Here is an 18,569-nt window from a genome sequence, read left to right as displayed (position 1 = left end):
CAAACCTGCTTTTAACCTTTCTAGTCAGTGACTGTTAACCCTGGATGCACATTAGAATTACCCAAGGAGCTTTAAAGACATAGTGATATCTGGCCCAAGATAGGAGCAGCAAAATATAATTACTCAGACTTGAGTTCAGATCTTGTTACCATCACTTTTTAGTCATGTGACCTTTGACAAACTATTAACCTCTCTGTTGGCTGATCTGTGGGATGAGTGGCGGGCGGGGGGCGTCATTGTAGGGACTAAACCATGTATTTAAAGCTCTGGGCACACATCTTGGCATGTAGCAGGTATCCAGTAAATACTTGGTATTAGAAACCTATTTTCTCTGAAGACCCCAGCCCAAAGGGTCCCCCCACCTCCACTGAACTCAGTTATGAAAATTTTACCTTGAAATATAGTCTTGGGCAAAAACTAAGGAAGGTTTCTTATTTTACGAATGAGAAAACTAAAGCACAAAAGAGTTGTTCAAAGTTACATGGCTAATAATAAACTAGAATCTGAACCCAGGTCTCCTAATTCTTTGACTATTGTTTTTCTTCCTATTCCATAGTTCTTAATCACATAACCCCAGAAGCCTCAAATTCTGGCCCTGGATGCCGGCATCAGCCTCATATTTTTCCAGTCCCTTCCAGCCTTAGCTTTGTGGTGCAGCAACACCAAATTGCTGTTTTCTGATACTCATAATTACTGTTTCTCACCTATTTGCCTTGGCTTATGTGATCATCCCTGCCCTGCCTGAAATGCTCTCCTTGCCTTGGTTTTCTAGCAACTACACTAACTTCTGCTGCTGACCATCAATGATTAACTGCTACAGCAATTGTCTTCCCATTTTAAACAGTTAGAAATGAGACAAAACGTCAGACATCGGACAACAAGATTTTAATCCCTGTGAGTAGGAAAATAAATGGGATGAGCCCTGTGATTGCCACACCTTATACCTGGAGGCAGTTTCCAGGATACTACCCATGGTGGAATAACCAAAACAGCCTAGTGGTCTTGCTAAGTTGAAGAGACAGAGTTTAAAGTCTGGGGAGACTGAGGAGGCTAGAATTTGCAGGGGAGTTTACCAGAAAGAGGAAACTAGATAGAAAGGAAGCTCTGGAGATCTGCAGAGCACTTACCCCATGTCTTTGGATGAGTTTTATTGATCTGCATGTGCTCGTGAAGACACTATGAAGACTGCGGTGAAGAACTCCCTGAAAGCACAGGCTGAACAATACCTAGAGCTTACAGAGGACCGGGAATACTTCGTGTTTCTACCAGCCTGAGTGGAGAAACCTCAAAATACATAGTGCATTGGGTGAAGTCCTCAGATGTGCCATGCCTTAGTAGTGGAGTAAATTAGTCCTATAATAAAAGCTGCTCTGGAACCACCATACAAAATGTAAAAATGAGCCTTTCATGAATCAAACTGATCTGCCACGAAATCCAATGTTCTTTAAAGAAGAGAACACAATCCAGCACCCAATAAAATAAAATTAACGATATCTGTAATTCAAATAGTAATTTGTAGATATACCAGAAAGTGTAAAAATGTGATTTATAACAAGAGAGAAATTAATCAGTAGAAATAGATCAAGAAATGACAGAGATAATGGAATTAGTAGGCAAGGACCTTAACAAAGTTTATCCTATGTTTAAGGATGTAAAAGAGAACATAAACACTATGAATAGGGAGTAAAACATATTAAAAAGACCCAAATGAAACTTATAGAGATGGAAATATGAAATAAAAAATAAGCTGGATAGGATTACCAGCATCTTATATGATGCAGAAGAAAAAGTCACTGTACCTGAAGACATAGCAATAGTAACTATCCAAAATGAATCACAGGTTGGAAAAAAAAAAAAAGGCCAGGCACGGTGGCTCATGCCTGTAATCCCAGCACTTTGGGAGCTGAGGAGGGTGGATCACTTGAGGTCAGGAGTTTGAGACTAGCCTGGCCAACATAGAGAAACCCCATCTCTACTAAAAATACAAAAATTAGCCAGGCATGGTGGTTGGTGCCTGTAATTTCAGCTATTTGGGAAACTGAGGAGGAGAATTGTTTAAATATGGGAGGTGGAGTTTGCAGTGAGCCGAGATTGTGCCACTGCACTCCAGCCTGGGTGACCAAGTGAGACTCCATCTCAAAAAAAAAAAAAAAAAAAAAGAACAAAAAAGACTAAAAGCAAACTCACACATACAGAGAGCCCCAGTGAACTCTGGGATCTTATAAAGCCATGCAACATATGTGTAACTGGAGTCTTACAAATGTGATGTGGGTGAAACAGAAACACTATTTGAAGAAGTGGCTGAAAATTATACAAATTTTATTAAAAATGTAAACTCATAGATTCAAAAGGCTCAACAAACTCCGAACAGCAGTAATATAAAAAAATCACACTAAGGCACATCATAGTTAAATTTCTGAAATTAATGCCAAAAAGAAAATCTAAATCACAGCCAGGGAGAAAAAGATACGTTATGTACAGAGATATAAACTTGAGAATTATAGCAGGCTTCTCGTCATAAACCATGCAGGCCTAAAGACAATGGAAGGTCATCTTTTAAGTGCTGGAGAAAAACAAAAATCTGCCAGCCTGGAATTCTATACCTACTGAAGATTTTTTTAAAAGATAAAGGCAAAATAAAATTTTTTTCAGGTCAATAAAAGGCGTGTGATCGTTAAGAAATGTTAAATGTTCTTTTAGCAGAAAGAAAATGATACTAGATGGGAATTTGGACCTACAGAAAGAGATGAAGAGCACTTAAATGGTAAATATGTGAGTAAATATTTTAAAAATGGGGTTTCCCCTCATTTTTCATCTCTTTTGCATTTATTCATCCTTCTAGGAAGAAATCCCATGCTTCTTTACCACCTCTTCTTAGGTCAGGAGTGACAAACTCAACTCTCTACACAGGCTTAGATTGATAAGGTAAATGAGTAAAGTCTGTGTATGCTTATAAGGAATAGTGGAAACAGTCGCAAACTGTAGAGTGCATGTCTCATTTAAAAGGAGTATCCATTACTCAACTTCAGCTTCTAGTTGCTGGGAGGGAATTGAGCCAAACTCTTCCTTTATTTAAATGTAGCAATTAATTTAAATCAACCAAAACCCAAAACTCCATGGACTATAGTCAGCTGTTGGGCCACTAGGGTGCAATTACAATTTTAGGTATTCTTCACTTGTGCCCCTCGTAATCTCAGAGCACTGGAGAAAGGTTTAAGAGTTAAGCACTTTGACCAAAATTTTGGTGGAGTACTCTGTATTTGCATCAAAAATAATTTGGTTTACTTTGTTTAATTCAGTTGATAAGTTTATGCTATTATCCCTAATGTAAAAAAGTTCTGTAAGAGTCACATGTGTGTTAAAGCAATGTGGTACTTTGGTAGCTACAGCCTTACTTCAGTGCCTTTATTTTCGTAATAGATGAAGAAACCACAAAGCATGTCCCGCAGCTTCCCTAGGAATACCTCTCTTAATGTAATTTCACAGCGATGCATCTGTCACTGGGAAATTTTCTGTCTGAACATGAATGATGAAGGTATAGGTAGGGATCTTTCTTTTTTTTTTCTTACAGTCCTTACAGGTCTTTTTTTTTTTTTTTTAAACACCTATTATGCCATGAATTCATAGGGAATAGTTTCCAGCAGCTCAGGCTCCTTCCCATTGGTTCTCACAAAGTGTGCTTCTCTGGGTGGAGCAGACTGGGGCTTCAGTCGAACCCAGGTACCTTTCTCTTTGTCTTCTTTCTTTTTCTGATCATTTTCCTTCTCGCGTTTCAGGAAGCCATCTCGGCTTTTAGAGTGCTTAATGTGCTCAATATGCACGTTAATTCTCTTGACAAGAATCTTGCCCTTAACTTGTTTGTTTACAACAATGCCAACAGCATGCTGGGTAACTGTAGACTCTTCCAGTTTTGCCATGGTGACACTTGTGGGGCATTCCTTTTTGAAAAGTACCCATTCTCTTACATCTACAATATCACCTTTCTTATAGATTCGCATATATGTGGCCAAAGGAACAACTCCATGTTTTCTAAAAGGCCTAGAGAACATATATTGGGTGCCTGTCTTCTTTCCCTTTGTATTCGTCATTTTGGTGAATTACTGGAAGATGGTGGTTCCGGCCGAAAGGGGGATCTTTCTTTTTATTCCTTCCCAGGCTTACTTTTCTTCCCACTTCCTCCACCTACTCCTATCCCTCCACCCTGGACTTCACTTCATTCTGCGCACCTCGTCTCACCATTAAAAAATCAAATCGACAGATCAATGTTTTGGAAGCTGCCCCAATGCTCAAATGAGTAAAAATAAAATATTGATGGCGATCAACATATTGAATTCTTTATTATGTCCCAGGTAAATGACATCATGTCACTTAATGCTCACAATAATCTGATACAAGAGTACTTAAAACAATCTCCATTTCACAGATAAAAACACTGAAGCTCAAGGTTTCACAGCTCATAGGTTCTGAAATCGGACTTTGTGTTCTTACTTTCTACATCCTTGCTCCTCAAAGTATTGTCAACTGAAAGTTTACTAGAAAGGTAGTATCTCAGGCCTCACCCCAGACAACTGAGTCAGAACCTGCATTTCAGCAAGATCTCCAGGTTATTCATGGGCACATTCAAGTTTGAGAAGTCCTGTTCCACACTGCACCACCTCTTTCTGGGTGTGCCTCCTGATAGTGCCCATCCACCACTTGCCTGGAAGCCCCAACACACTTCCCAGTGTGCCCAACTTTCTCTCAAGAGTGATTTATGCAGCAAGCCTTTGCTGGTGGAATTCCATTGTGTTGACTTAAACACTCACCCCGAGATCCCTCCCTTCTTCCTACTCTCAATCCATCATCATGTCTCATTTTCTATTTTTGGACACAGCTCAGGGACATGAAGAGGGAGGGCCGGGCTTGCGGCACTGGAGGGTTGCCTGACCAATAATTTCTCCTAGTGGCTGCTTCTGGCCCCGTGTGGGCCATAGAACAGTGCTATGGGTGGGAAAGCAGGAGAAGCTTCATAGGAAATACCCGTCAAGCAAAACCTTTGGCAGAACTGAAGCCATGGAAGTTGTTATGGGTACAGAGGTCCATGGATGCTGGCAACTTTATTAAAGCTTATTTTCACACTGATATCACTCACAAGCAAAAGTCTGACCACTACATGCACTTTCGAATGAGTCCAAAAGTCTGTGGAACTGAGTTATTATAAAAATGGGTTCTCAAAATACTGTATAAAGTCAAAGTTGTTGGATAGTCAATGAAAAATAATTTTTTCAGTTAAAATAGCTCATACGCATTGGCTTTGAAATGGCAGAGGTGACAAAGGATGGTCTTATGATGTCATTCCAAGGCCCATGATGATAATAAACTATTTACTTATTTTTTCTTCTTTTCAAGAGGTACGGTGTCTCCAAGCTCTCTCCTTGCCATTTCTCTCTTTAGAAACCTTTTGTATTCATCACCCGGCTTTGGTGGGGGTCTAAGTTAAGCAGAAAAGGCTGCTGTAGAGAGATGAGAGGAATTCTTTTCTCCTGAGACATGGCCAGTTGGGGCAGAATGCTGGTGCAGAGACCAAGCTTTCTGCCAACAGAATAGAGCGTGGAACTGTAACATACTCTTTAATGTTGTTGTAACTTTATTTTCCACTTTAAAGTAATAGAAATTCTTCCTAGAAATAATGCTGTTTAGTAAAGACAGCATGGCATAGCTGACTAAAGCCATATCTTTGAGCACTTGCCAACCTTTGTAGTAAAGGGACATTTTTCATGAGCCTCCTGCATTCACAACATCAGGAAATGATGGAAATGTCTTTATCATAGAATCAAAGTGCTCAAAGGGGGCGCTGTAAGATCATTCATTTTACATATTTTGTTCTTCAAAGACAGGCAGACATCCTAATTTTTTACAGAGATGAGAGGCAGTGAGGTATAATGAAAAGAATAAGGCTTTAGGCTGATGCCAATCTTGAAATGCATCTTAATTCTATTATTTATTAACAAGACTTTGGGGGAATTGTTCAACTTTTCTGATTTTTAATATTCTTATATTTAAAAATAAGAAAAAGGACACTTTTGTCTTTTGATCCTGAAAACATGCCTGCAAGTTGATTGTAAGATAGTGAAACAATGGATTTAATATAAAAGGGGCAAGGGATCCTGTTTTGATATAAGTCTTGCTTTTTAGACACAATAGTTGAATGATTAGAATTCTAGCATCTCCCACACATTCTCTAATTTTATTTTTCTTTGTAACCGAATGTGTAGTCAACATGCTTAAGTGAGCGCCTGGCTGAGGTTAGAGACATCACTTTTAATATGTCTAATAATTATTATTCTTTTCTGTATTATATTAAGTTCATGATACTCCTGTTACTAGTATTTAAACCTTTATTATTCTATTTTCATAATTTTTAATAGAAAAATTATGACAAATTACAGTAAAATATTCAAATAATTGCACCAATATTAATCTTTGTTTGGATCACTGAATTCATAGAAGTTATTTCATAAGGGTAGTTATTGTTAATTACTGTTGTTACAAACAAATTCCAAATTTCACTGATTTAGTTTAATTTTTTTTCTCATAAAAAGTCCAGTCCAGTGGACTTTGGGAGGCTGAGGCAGGAGGATCACTTGAGTCCAGGAGTTCAAGGCCAGCCTGGACAACATAGCAAGACCCTGTCTCTACAAAAAATTAAAACATTTCCCAGCCATGGTGGCACACACCTGTAGTCCCTGCTACTTGAGGCTGAGGTGGGAGGATCACTTGAGGCCAGGAGGTAGAGGCTGCAGTGAACCATGACCATGCCACTGTACTCCAGCCTGGGCAGCAGAGGAAGACCCTGTCTCTAATCTATAGATTAGATAGATAGATAGAGAGATAGAGAGATGATAGATAGATAGATAGATAGATAGATAGATAGATAGATAGATAGAGAGATAGAGAGAGAGAGAGATAGATAATGAGAGAGAGAGAGTCCACTGGGGCTGATCTTGCTTGGGCAGCTCTTCTTTAAGTTGCCAGACTCAGGTGTCCTGGCATCTTCCCTCAGAGACTCTGTTATCCATCAGAGCCTCCCTGGGAGGCCTGTGCTGGGTCTGCTTTATTCAGCAGCCAATGAGCAAAGAGAGGGATTCTCACATCCCCTCCCCATCCCCTTCCTCCTCTTCCCTCTCCCTCCCCCTCCCCGTATCCTCCTCCTCCTCCTCCTTCTTCTTCTTCTTCTTCCTTTTGAGACAGGGTCTGACTCTGTCACCCAAGCTAGAGTGCAATGGCACAATCAGGGCTCACTGCAGCCTCCATCTCCTGTACTCAAGAAATCCTCCCACCTCAGCCTCCCCAGTAGCTGGGACTGCAAGTGCATGCCACCATGCCTGGCTAATTTTTGTATTTTTTGTAAAGATGGGGTTTTGTCACATTGCCCAGGCTGGTCTTGAACTCCTGGGCTCAAAGGATCCGCTCACCTCAGCCTCCCAAAGTGCTGGGATTACAGGTGTGAGCCACCATGCCGGCCTCTCATGGGTCTTTTTAAGGGCCAGGGCTAGAAGTACACACTTGACACTTTCTTACACTTCATTGGCCATCAATTGTCACAATATGCCATCTAGATGCAAAATGACTGGGAGATGTAGTTTTTCCATGTGCCCAGGGGAGAAACTAAATGGTTTGGTGAATCCACAGCATTGTCTGTCTAGAAGCAAGGCTGTCAAACTGAATTATTAGCCAGCCAGCAGCCACCAGGGCCCTCAAAAAGTTTATTCATCAAAACTGATGTATAAAAGCGTGGTTTTAGTATGTAGTAAGCAGTGTATAGCTGTCCACACATGATATATGGAAGTTGAATGCATGACAATTGGAGATTATCTGTACGTCTTGTTGCACAGAGTTAATGCCTATTGCTGAGTTGCTGCAAAGAGTCAGTAAGATATTTATGTGAAAATGCCTAGCACAGAGTTAGTATTAACATGCTGTTCCCTGAGCTTTTTTTAAAAAAACTAGATTCTTGGCTGGGCATGGTGGCTTATGCTTGTAATCCCAGAGCTTTGGGAGGCTGAGGCAGGAGGATCACTTGAGCCCTGGAGTTCAAAGCTGCCGTGAGCTAAGATTGCACCATTGTACTCTAGCATAGGTGACAGAGCAAGACTTTGTGTCTAAAAAAAAAAAAGAAAACCCAGAAAAGGATTCTTCCACAGTATCCTTTAATAAACTCATCTGGTGATGAATGGGTTCCAGCTAGAGTCTGCAACTTCTTATACATTGCCAAAATTGATTTTTCTACAGTTTAATCACATTTATTTTGAATGATTCTCATAGAAACGGTAAAACATCTGATCATCACTCTTCTTATACTACTCCATCAATGTCAAAGCCATCTGGCCATCTGTAAGCCTTTTCTTCTTTTGACTCATTTAAAACTTTTTTGATATGTCTATCAGTTTTCACATATGACTCAACGTACATTAACTGCTATTTTCTTGAGGCTTTTTATGTGTGAAAACTGGGAGATTATAGTAGTTTCCTACCTGAGAAACTTGCCATTGACTTTTATTTCCCATTCAAAAATGAATATTTATTTCTCCATTGCTCTCCATCAGTTAAGAATGTGTTTGTGTGAAAATACCTCAGGAAAACAAAGATTGCTTCACAAAATTCAGAATGTTAATTTATCCCAGTGGGCTACTGCTATTGGAAAGTTATCAGCCATATCATCAGAACCAAAGGTTTTAAAAGAAGTAATTTTATATCAAGAACGTATGAGTGTTACCTTATCCTTCCCTTTAATCTTGTTTTCATCTTAAAAGTAGAGTTTTCCAAAACCTACTGTCTTCTGGGCATAAATCAGAATTTTCCTGAGCCTTCCTTCCTGATGTGCACCTAGAATTCAGATCCTCATGAATCAGCAGCCACCTCATAATGTGAATGCTCAAGAACAGAATGAGGAACAATGTTCTCCCAGGTCTGGTCTGAATTTGGGAGGGCTGACTTGCCTAATTTTAGAGGTGTTGTGCCCAAGAGGAATGGAGGCCGGGTTTCCTTGCTTCTTTACCAATCTACTTATCGGTTTCCTGTTCAACTCCCTTCCTTTGCTTAGTAGGTTTCTAGGTATTCTCATTTATTAATGTTAAAAATACCTTTTCAGATGAATTACTCATTTACACATCCAAATTAAGGTTTTCATTTCCCAGTTTTATCACAGCTGGCATAATGAACCATGTCAAGTTTTTAAACTATATTGTGACAACATTTAAACTCGTTATGCTTTGCCTGTGGATGTAATTAAGACAGTGTGTTTGGTATCAGTTTATTCTTAAAAAGCAAAGTAAAAGCAGATGAGGTGTATTTATAGACTCATCAGCCAATGAATGGATGAAAGAGAAAAAGAAATTAATGGGGAAATGTCAGCCAGAATAGAGGAGGGACCCACTGAGAAGTTCATTTCCAGACCAACTATTTGGAATTTAGTCCAAAGACAGCTGTCCCTTGATTTACAGTAGGGGAAAAAAATGACATTGTAAGACTATTGGGCCTCAAGTTAAGAAGCAGGCAAAGAGTAACATACTTCAAATAAACTTCTGCAGTTGGGATGGGGGCCCAAGCACAATGCTTACAGTCAGGACCCTATCTGGAGGTGCATGCCTTCCTACAAAGAGTGGGGCTTAGAAAAATCTGGGAAAGAAGGAAAATCTGTAGGAAACATAGAAGATTTGGAACTTGGTCCTGGCCACTTGAAAGCTGTTTTGATTTGAAGCCAAAGCCCCTAGGGAGTGGGGGGATAGCGGGGGTAGAGTGAAGGGGGAAGTAAAGAAAAGTGTAGAAGATAAAATTGTAGTATAAAACCCCAACCCAGGGAATTCAGTTTCGAGAACCAACAAAGAAGAAAAATGAATTGCAAAGCTTAAGGGATACAGATTCATTTCTTTGTGCTTTCTTGAGAGCTTGGGTAGTACATTTCTTTTATTGTAAAATGAAACACAAAAGTTTTCCGACATTCTGGGGCATGCGTCTAACATTAGACACAGGTGAGGCAGAATAAATCTGCATTGTCTTGAGTACATGTAAAAAGGCAGCATGAGGGGAGGAAATATGGTTGTTTTGGCATCCTGTTTTTAACCACCCATATTTCAGAGTCTGGGCGAAATGATTTGGGCACAAGCAAAGTCCTGTGGTCTGCAACACTTCAGCTAGGGTGAAGGGGGAGCAGAGGGGAAATGGCTTCACCAGTTCTCTTCCCCAAAACATCTAAAGGAATGTTCATTATGACTTTTAGAAGAAATTCCTTTGGATTTTCATGGGGGAGCAACCAAGAAGAGTTCTTCAGAAACTCAGATTTAAAAATTCCTTTTCTAGAGAATTAAAATATATTAATAACAGGTAAGTTTAATTCAGAAAAAAATATATTCTCTGGGAATTCATAAAGCAATATTTCTTTTGTTTGATATAGGTACTTGTCTCTAGATCCTAATGTACCTGCATTTCTGAGCCATAGTTTTCCTTCTCCATATATCCCTAACCTCTTTTTCTCCTTCCTCTTCCTCAGTGAATTTGACTCATGTAGTTTGTTGATGTGTGTGATTGTGGGCTCTTGGTTTAACTCTCTCTTTAGAGACGGAGAATAAGATAATATAGGAAAGGAAAAAGAAGAAAAGAAGGGAGGGAAGGAAGGAAAAGAGGAAGGGAGGAAAGAAGGGAAGAAAGAAAGGGAGGAGGGAGGGAAGAGATGGAGAGGAAGGAAGGGAGAAGGAAAGGAGAGGGGAAGGAAGGAAGAAAAAGGATCAAGACATAACAAATCCATTCGCTTCAATCATGTAATCAAACCATTCCTATTTCTGAACACTCCCTCAGCTGTGGCACATCTGGAGATACTGAGGAAATGAGTTTACAGAGCTTTGAGCTTTGTTTCTGCTGAGTTGGCTGTTCTGTTATATAGATAATGTGTGTGTGTGTATGTGTGTGTGTGTGTGTGTGTGTGTGTGTGTGATGTACATTTAATTCACAAAACAGTTACCTGACCATCCAGATCACTTTATAGTTTAGACTCAAGCTTCTCAAACTATCTGTGGCAAAGGACCAGTTTTTAAGTGTCCAATCAGCCACAAACTGGTGTTTTAATCAAATGTAACAAAAATGTATTTCTAGAAAAATTAAATTTAAAAACACCCCAAATCGTACAAAATGCAAGCCTCTCATATTTAATATCAGATTCAAAAGACAGGCCAGGCACAGTGGCTCACGCCTGTAATCCCAGCACTTTGGGAGGCCGAGGCAGGTGGATCACCTGAGGTCAGGAGTTCAAGACCAGCCTGACCAATATGGTGAAACCCCATCTCCAGTAAAAATACAAAAATTAGCCAGGCGTGAGGGTGTCTGCCTGTAGTCCCAGCTACTCAGAAGGCTGGGACAGGAGAATCACTTGAACCTGGGAGGCCGAGGTTGCAGTGGGCAGAGATCATGCCACTGTACTCTGGCCTGGGTGACAGAGCAAGACTGCATCTCAAAAAAAAAAAAAAAAAAAAAAAAGACAAAAAAATTTCATGTCAGATGACTAGAAAAGTTTCTAAGTGCTCACTCACAGTTTTGCTCAACTCATTGCAGTGTGGTGCCAATCCACCCAGGGCCAGCACTGTCCAGGGAACACCGTTTGCATAGTACCAGTGTAGACTATAAAGAAAAGGTCTCTAAACAAAAGGAAAGGGATAACAGTTTATATTTTTTAAGTTCAAAGTTATTAACTTACTATTGATGTACAGACAACAAGATAAATTCCAGTATTTTTCAAATAATTTCTTTTAAAGAAAACATTTAATTGCCTGGACAGTGTTGATTTTTAAAAAATCACTGAAGTGTTTGCTTAAGTAAAATAAACTATATACATGGATTATCTCTGTTATCATATGGGCCCTATTTGTATTCAAGCACTGGAAGAATGAATTGATTTTAACACAAATAGTTTTAAGAATGAAACCGTTTCTAAAATGTAAATAAGGGTATGGTATTCTGAAATGCATATTCAGCTGGTTGACATGACATACACATTCTTGCATGCCATGTTATTTTTTTTTCAGCTCATCTTTCTTTACTTAAATGTAATGAATTAATGTAGACTATTGCCTAATTTAATGTTGACTGAAGTAGTTTGAATTCACATATTGGGTTGAAATGGCCAGGAATATTGTAGAGCACTGAAAAGACTCTAAGTGAATTGCATGTTTTCATCTTAAACCATAAGACTTTTACCAATTCCCACTGATCTCAAGTTGCCCTAACGAACTTTCCACACAGAGGCTAATAGAATTTATGTCCCTAAAAGCAGTAAGTTAAAGAAATGAAAGCTTAAGTCATAAAGAAATTCCCTGGCTATAAATTTATTATTTGTGAGAAAGAATTTATTTTTTAACAAAAAAAAAATGCAGAGCAGAGCTATTGCATATCATCCCCACATGGAACAGGTGGTGAAAGGACTGTTGGGTTATGGAAATCATATTATTGTTATCATATGTTTTCCTTAGCTGCGGCTATCACAGAGAACCTTTTGGGGAGGGTATTATTTACAATGCTCTATTGTTTAACATCTCATGTTAGGATTCTGTTTCAATAGTAGTTTATCACCATCACATATATTTTTTTCTTTCTAGATTTGACTTTAGATAAATGTCACACTCCAGTAAAGAGACTTTAAGAATTACTCAGTAATCAAACCATGTGAATTCAATGGTCTGCACGCTTGGAATCTTAAGAAACTGCTGAGTAAGTAAATTCTGGGTAGTGAATATGGAAAGCATTCACATACATAAACATGTAATTAAAAAATGGAACTAACATCCATTGAAGAGCAATAAACTGACATGAATTGGCTTTATTGTGGCCAGCGAGAGGAGCTGGCTCTCTGATGGCTGAATTAGAGGCTGGGACAGAATGTGAGAGATTAGTAGGGGACCTTTTTGGGTGGCATGTAGCATCCAGGTGCACAAAGGTTTGGTGTTGGTGTGTGACTTTGGACACCTTGGGATGCTGAAACTTCTTAAAAGTTGGGTGCAGCACACCAACATGGCACATGTATACATATGTAACAAACCTGCACGTTGTGCACACGTACCCTAAAACTTAAAGTATAATAATAATAAAATTTTTTAAAAAGTTGACCTATTTAAATTGTTTGCCTCCCAATGGGACCCTTCCAGTGTTCCTAGATGATAGAAACCATCCAGTTTTGTCAAAACACATGCATAAATCTAAAGGGTTCTGTGCTCTGTGAGAGGCAGTTTTGTGGAGAAGACAATCATTCTCTCTGTCTCTCAGTTGGATCTGTTTTGGACCCCAGGGGGTGAGTTGCCATCTTTTGGCACATTCTGGGTCTCTGTACACTGTTTCTGCTCCCATTCTTGCACTTGTTAATATATAGCCCCCAGCTGGTTGCTATCTAAGTGCCACTCACAATCCATATTTCCACAGTGATGACATTGGCTGCCTCGGTTTTAGGAACTGCCAGAAATAGCCACTAACCAAGAGAAAGAGAGCAAGGACTAGCCCTGAATAATTGGTCAACGATGCTGATTTCGTTGGTTTCCTGTTCCTTTTGCTTCCTGGAAAATACAGACCTACAAAGCAAACATTGTGTGTGGGTTGATGCTACAGCATCGTCTGAACTTGGAAGGACGATCGTGGATTCTGATGCCTCGTGGTCTCACTACAGGTCTAATTTTCATGTGTTTTAGGAGTCTTGGGATTAGGTTATGTACTCTGACTCTGGGCAAATGGAAACATCAGGCGAGAATTATTTATCTCATAACATTTCTTACAAGGTATTAACTTTTGGACCATTTTGGAGAAGATGAGCAAATTCATTTCTCAAGACCAGCAGGGTTGGTTGCTATGAGCAGGCCTGGGTCAGCACATAAGACCTGCCCTTGCTGACCTGGGAAGTTTCTATATATGATGAAAATCTTTTTCGTAATCGGATGATGGTAACTGGCAGGGTGTCATTAGATCATGTAGATGATGGCTTATGTTAACAACAACTATTTTGTTAAAAAGTATTTGTTGAACTTCTACTTTGTGAGAGGTCTTCTTCCAGGTGCTGGGCAGTAGTACCTCTTCATTGTACTTTGAACTCTTTCTTTGTTATTTTATTTCATTCACATTTGTAAGTTCAGCCAGAGTAAAATCTTTTCTTAACTCAAATTTTTATTTTGAATTGAGAAATAATAATTGTATATATTTATGGGGTACAATGTGATGTTTTGATATATAAAAACATTGTAGCATGATTATATCAAGCTAATTAACATTTTTATCACCTTACATAGTTACCATTTTTATGTAGTGAGAACATTTACAATCTACTTTTTAAAGCAATTTTGAAACATGTGATACATTATTAACTGGTTACCATGCTGTGTAACAGATCTCGAAACTTATTGCTCCTGTATAACTGAAACTTTGTCTCCTTTCACCAACATCTCCCCATTCTATTCTCCCCACCCTGCCCCTCAGCCTCTGGTAATCACCATTCTACCCTCTATGTCCATGAGTTTGATTTTTTCAGATTCCACATATAAGTGAGATCTTGTGGTATTTGTTTTTTTTGCACCTGGCTGATTTCACTTAGCACAATGTTCTCCAAATTCATCCATGTTATTGAAAATGACAGAATTTTCTTCTTTTTAAAAGTTGAATAGTATTCCACTACATTTTTTAATTCATTCATCTGTTGATGGACATTTATGTTTATTCCGTATCTTGGCTATTGTGAATACTGCTGCAATGAACATGAGGGCACAGATATCACTCTGAGGTGCTGATTTCACTTCCTTTGGGTATATACCCAGAAGTGAGATTGCTGGATGATATGCAAATTCTATTTTTGTTTTTTTGAGGTGCCTCCACACTATTTTCCACAATGGCTATACTAACTTACATTTCTACCAACAGTGTAGAAGCGTTCCCTTTTCTCTACATCTTTGCCAACATTTTTTATCTTTTGTCTTTTTGATAATAGCTGTTCTAACAGGGATGAGATGGGAGCTCATTGTCATTTTAATTTTCATTTCCCTGATAATTACTGATGTTGAGCATTTTTCATAAGCCTACTGGCTATTTGTATGTTTTCAAGTAGCAAAATATTGATCTGACTGACTCTCTCTCTTTTTTTTTCTCCCTCTCTCCCTCTACACCCCACCCCACACACACTCCATTATAAATATTTATTGAGGTTGCAGTGGGAAAGACAATCATATAACTCTACCATTACTTGCGTATATTTTAAATTATTATCTGCAAGACTTCTTGAATCCATGTCCCGATAAACAGAAATGTTTTGATCTAGACTTTGCTGAAGTATATTTCAAGGTGGGAAATATTGGTTATTCATTTCAAAAATAGTAATAAGTAACACATTATGTTATATTGCTGAGGTGTATAAGATACAGAACTGTAGAAATCCAAAGAAGGAAATACCTTTAAAGGAAGCTCTCCATGGAAACCTATCAAGCTATGAATTTAAAGCATGCTAAGTGGCTTCTGGCAAAGCCACATCAATGGAAAGGTTTATCACTTAACAATGTCCACACACGGAATGCCATAGTTCTGTAGGAACTACAGCCAACAACTCATAGGTTTTCTGGACAGCTACACAAATGTTTTCTTTTAGTGTGATACTTAAAGTATTTGACTTTAATTCTGATATTTTCTCTCATGCCTCCACATCTGAAAGAATTCAACGCTATCTTTATTTGAAGTCTGTCCTGGTTAGCAAGCTGGCTGGTGGTGATGTATCACATACAGTGGTTTCTGTGATGTGGGCTGCTGACTATGGAAAGATGAATGAAGATCACAATCACATTAAGTTTGAGGACTATGGTCAGACTTAAACCATTATCCTTGAGGTGTATGGCTGTTGATTTATCAATGTTCTCATTTTTATGAAGGAAATCTTCTCAAGGTTGCTGTATGCTCTGTGTGTGTTGTATGTCAAATAAGGTATAATGTTATGTTCTCTCATAACTTCATAAATAAGAATGTATTGCTTTGAGAGATGGAATAAAATGACAAGTTTTATTTGGCATCTATATATTTAAGAGTTCATGAAGAGATTAATGGTTGTTGGCCGCTGGTCAAATTTCTTTGATGTACACTATTTTTTTCCACTAAAATTCTGCACTTGCCACTCCCTGGATGAGTTACCCACACATTTATGTACATAAATTATGGTGCATTTATTACATCATTTCCAACCTAGCTGGATAAAAGCACAGTGGGATTTTTTTCCCTGTGTGCAATTTCCATTTTGGTGGCATTTCTGCTTCCTAACAAATTCCAGACAGTCAAAGTAGACACCCAAATTCTGTTTTTATGTATTTCAGCTTTCTGTGTTCACCTACACTTTGTTTGGGAGATGTCCTACTGGGAAGTTACTTAGATTTATGAATATTTGATGAGCTTTTTGCAGAAATGGGGGTCTGGAGACTCATATAATCTCATTGTATGTAGTATACTTTTTCCTTTTTTACTCTGTACTTCAATTTTTGATAACTTGGATGTGGTATTTAATAACCTATTGACTTAATTTTATTATTTACTAATAGTTTCAACTTTGATCTCTTTCGGAAGGATGTTGTCGGAAGGATGTTGAAAAAAATCCAAAATGAGTTCTGGAGCAGATATAAAATGTATCTCCTCTATTCATATATCTATATATATACGTTGATCTTCAAAGATAGGCCAACTTTCTAACTTCTGTCACTTTATTAGCATGGAATGCAAAGGTGCTCAAATGCCCTCAAGTGGTCTCAGCCCACATTAACCTCTTTCTGTTACTTCTTTTCCTTATTTCTCTGCATACTGAACGCAGAATTTGGCTTTTTCTGCTGCTTAAAATTAACATCTAACGGAGGAGTGTCTACGTATTTTTGTCCTGGTGTTTCTCATATTTTAATACTAACACAGCGCTGAATAATGTTTGCTGTGCAAATAAAAATTTAAACAAATGCCAGACCGATAAGGTTAGTTTTTTGACTTTGCCTAAACAATAAACAAAACAAGAAACACATTAAAACCTAAACATGTAATCTCTCAAAGTAAAAAAATATTTTAAAGTTGTACTCAACATACCCACTTATGGGTTAAGGATATAGTAATATAAATTTTATTAGATTGAGGAAGAAATCACTCTACCCTCTGAAAAGATGTAGATAGTCATATAATTCAGGTAGTCAGTTTAATGGGCTAGGCTCCCGGGTTCATGCAAATTCACAGAGAAATCTCAGAGCATAAAAATTTTGGTCAATAGCTTTATTGTTATTATTGTTAGATGGAGTCTCGCTCTGTTGCCCAGGCTGGAGTGCGGTGGCGTGATCTCGGCTCACTGCAACCTCCGCCTCCCAGGTTCAAGTGATTCTCCTGCTTCAGTCTCCTGAGTAGCTGGGACTACAGGCACCCGCCACCATGCCCAGCTAGTTATTTTTTGTATTTTTAGTAGATACAGGGTTTTACCATATTGGCCAGGCTGGTCTCAAACTCCTGACCTCAGGTGATCTGCCCGCCTCAGCCTCCCAAAGTGCTGGGATTACAGGCATGAGCCACCATGCCCAGCCTGGTCAATAGTTTTAACTACCAACCCCATGGAATTTTTACTCACCTTCAGTCAACTGATTTGCTCTTTGGTGGAGATATTCAGAGGCTAGGTGGAGATAGAGGTAGCCTTGAGGGTGGGTGTGGAGAAAGAGCCCCTAAACCAACAGACAGGAAAATATCTGAAAAGTGACTACCATATATACAACACAGCCAATTCTGATACTAAACTTTCTACTCTAAGAAAATCACTTCCATTAAAAAACAAAAAAAAAAGCTAATAAACAAAGGAAAGCTACCCCAGCTCTTAGGATTAAGGAATAATTATTTGCAGATAGAGTTTTTGTTTATGCAAAGCTCCTTCTCAATCCTTCTCAATCTTTTTTTTAACTCAGTAATCTCGACTGCATTGAAAACTAGCTCACTTAAAAAATTGTTTTAGAACAAAGTTTTAGTAGATGTACTTTGTGTGTTTTATACAGTTTGTGCGATGCATATTGTAAAATGCTATAATTACATTTTGTAGTGACGTTTTTCCTTTCTACCATGTAAGAAATTCTGTTTTCTTATTCCCAAGGATAAAAATATGGTGGCTTTTTTTATTTGAACCAATCTGAACATTATGCTCAGAGCCAAGCAGAATAAGCAAAGCTTATTTACTGAAAGGAATATTAGGATAATGGGCAGTATTGAAAAGTTACTTAAAATTAACATCTAAAGGAGTAGTGTCTACGTATTTTTGTCCTGTCAGATTTTCTGCTATGTTAGCAAAGGCGGAAAAGTTTAGGTATAAATGAAGAGAAGGAGAAATAGTATATGAGGTTAAAGAAATGAATAATATCTTCAAATAAGGTCATATAAAAAAGTAATGAATAAATGGTATGTAATAAGAGAAATCCAATATTATATCAACACTTCCAAAGAGGCTCAGAGCAAGAGATGACATTGTCTTTCAGCTCAACTATGCCAGATGCCAGAAAGGGTAAAGCTCTATGTTTGCTGAGACTACTCTT

The 18,569-nt window shown here is 38.4% G+C and overlaps 1 long non-coding RNA gene, 1 other non-coding gene and 1 pseudogene across 2 annotated transcripts; 2 read left to right on the top strand and 1 right to left on the bottom strand.

Moving 5' to 3' along the window:
• RPL21P18 (ribosomal protein L21 pseudogene 18) lies at positions 3,579 to 4,128 on the bottom strand (annotated as a pseudogene).
• LINC02425 (long intergenic non-protein coding RNA 2425) lies at positions 10,257 to 13,598 on the top strand. Its single transcript, NR_146530.1, has 3 exons — positions 10,257 to 10,362; positions 12,624 to 12,735; positions 13,441 to 13,598. It is a non-coding gene; the product is annotated as a long intergenic non-protein coding RNA 2425 (long non-coding RNA).
• A 3,998-nt stretch (positions 13,599 to 17,596) lies between these two features.
• On the top strand, positions 17,597 to 17,703 carry MIR6074 (microRNA 6074). Its single transcript, NR_106722.1, has one exon. It is a non-coding gene; the product is annotated as a microRNA 6074 (primary transcript).
• The last annotated feature ends 866 nt before the right edge of the window (positions 17,704 to 18,569 follow it).

The sequence above is a fragment of the Homo sapiens genome, chromosome 12 (assembly GCF_000001405.40).
Source record: "Homo sapiens chromosome 12, GRCh38.p14 Primary Assembly".
Lineage (NCBI taxonomy): Eukaryota > Metazoa > Chordata > Mammalia > Primates > Hominidae > Homo > Homo sapiens.
This window is presented reverse-complemented; position numbering and strand designations above follow the sequence as displayed.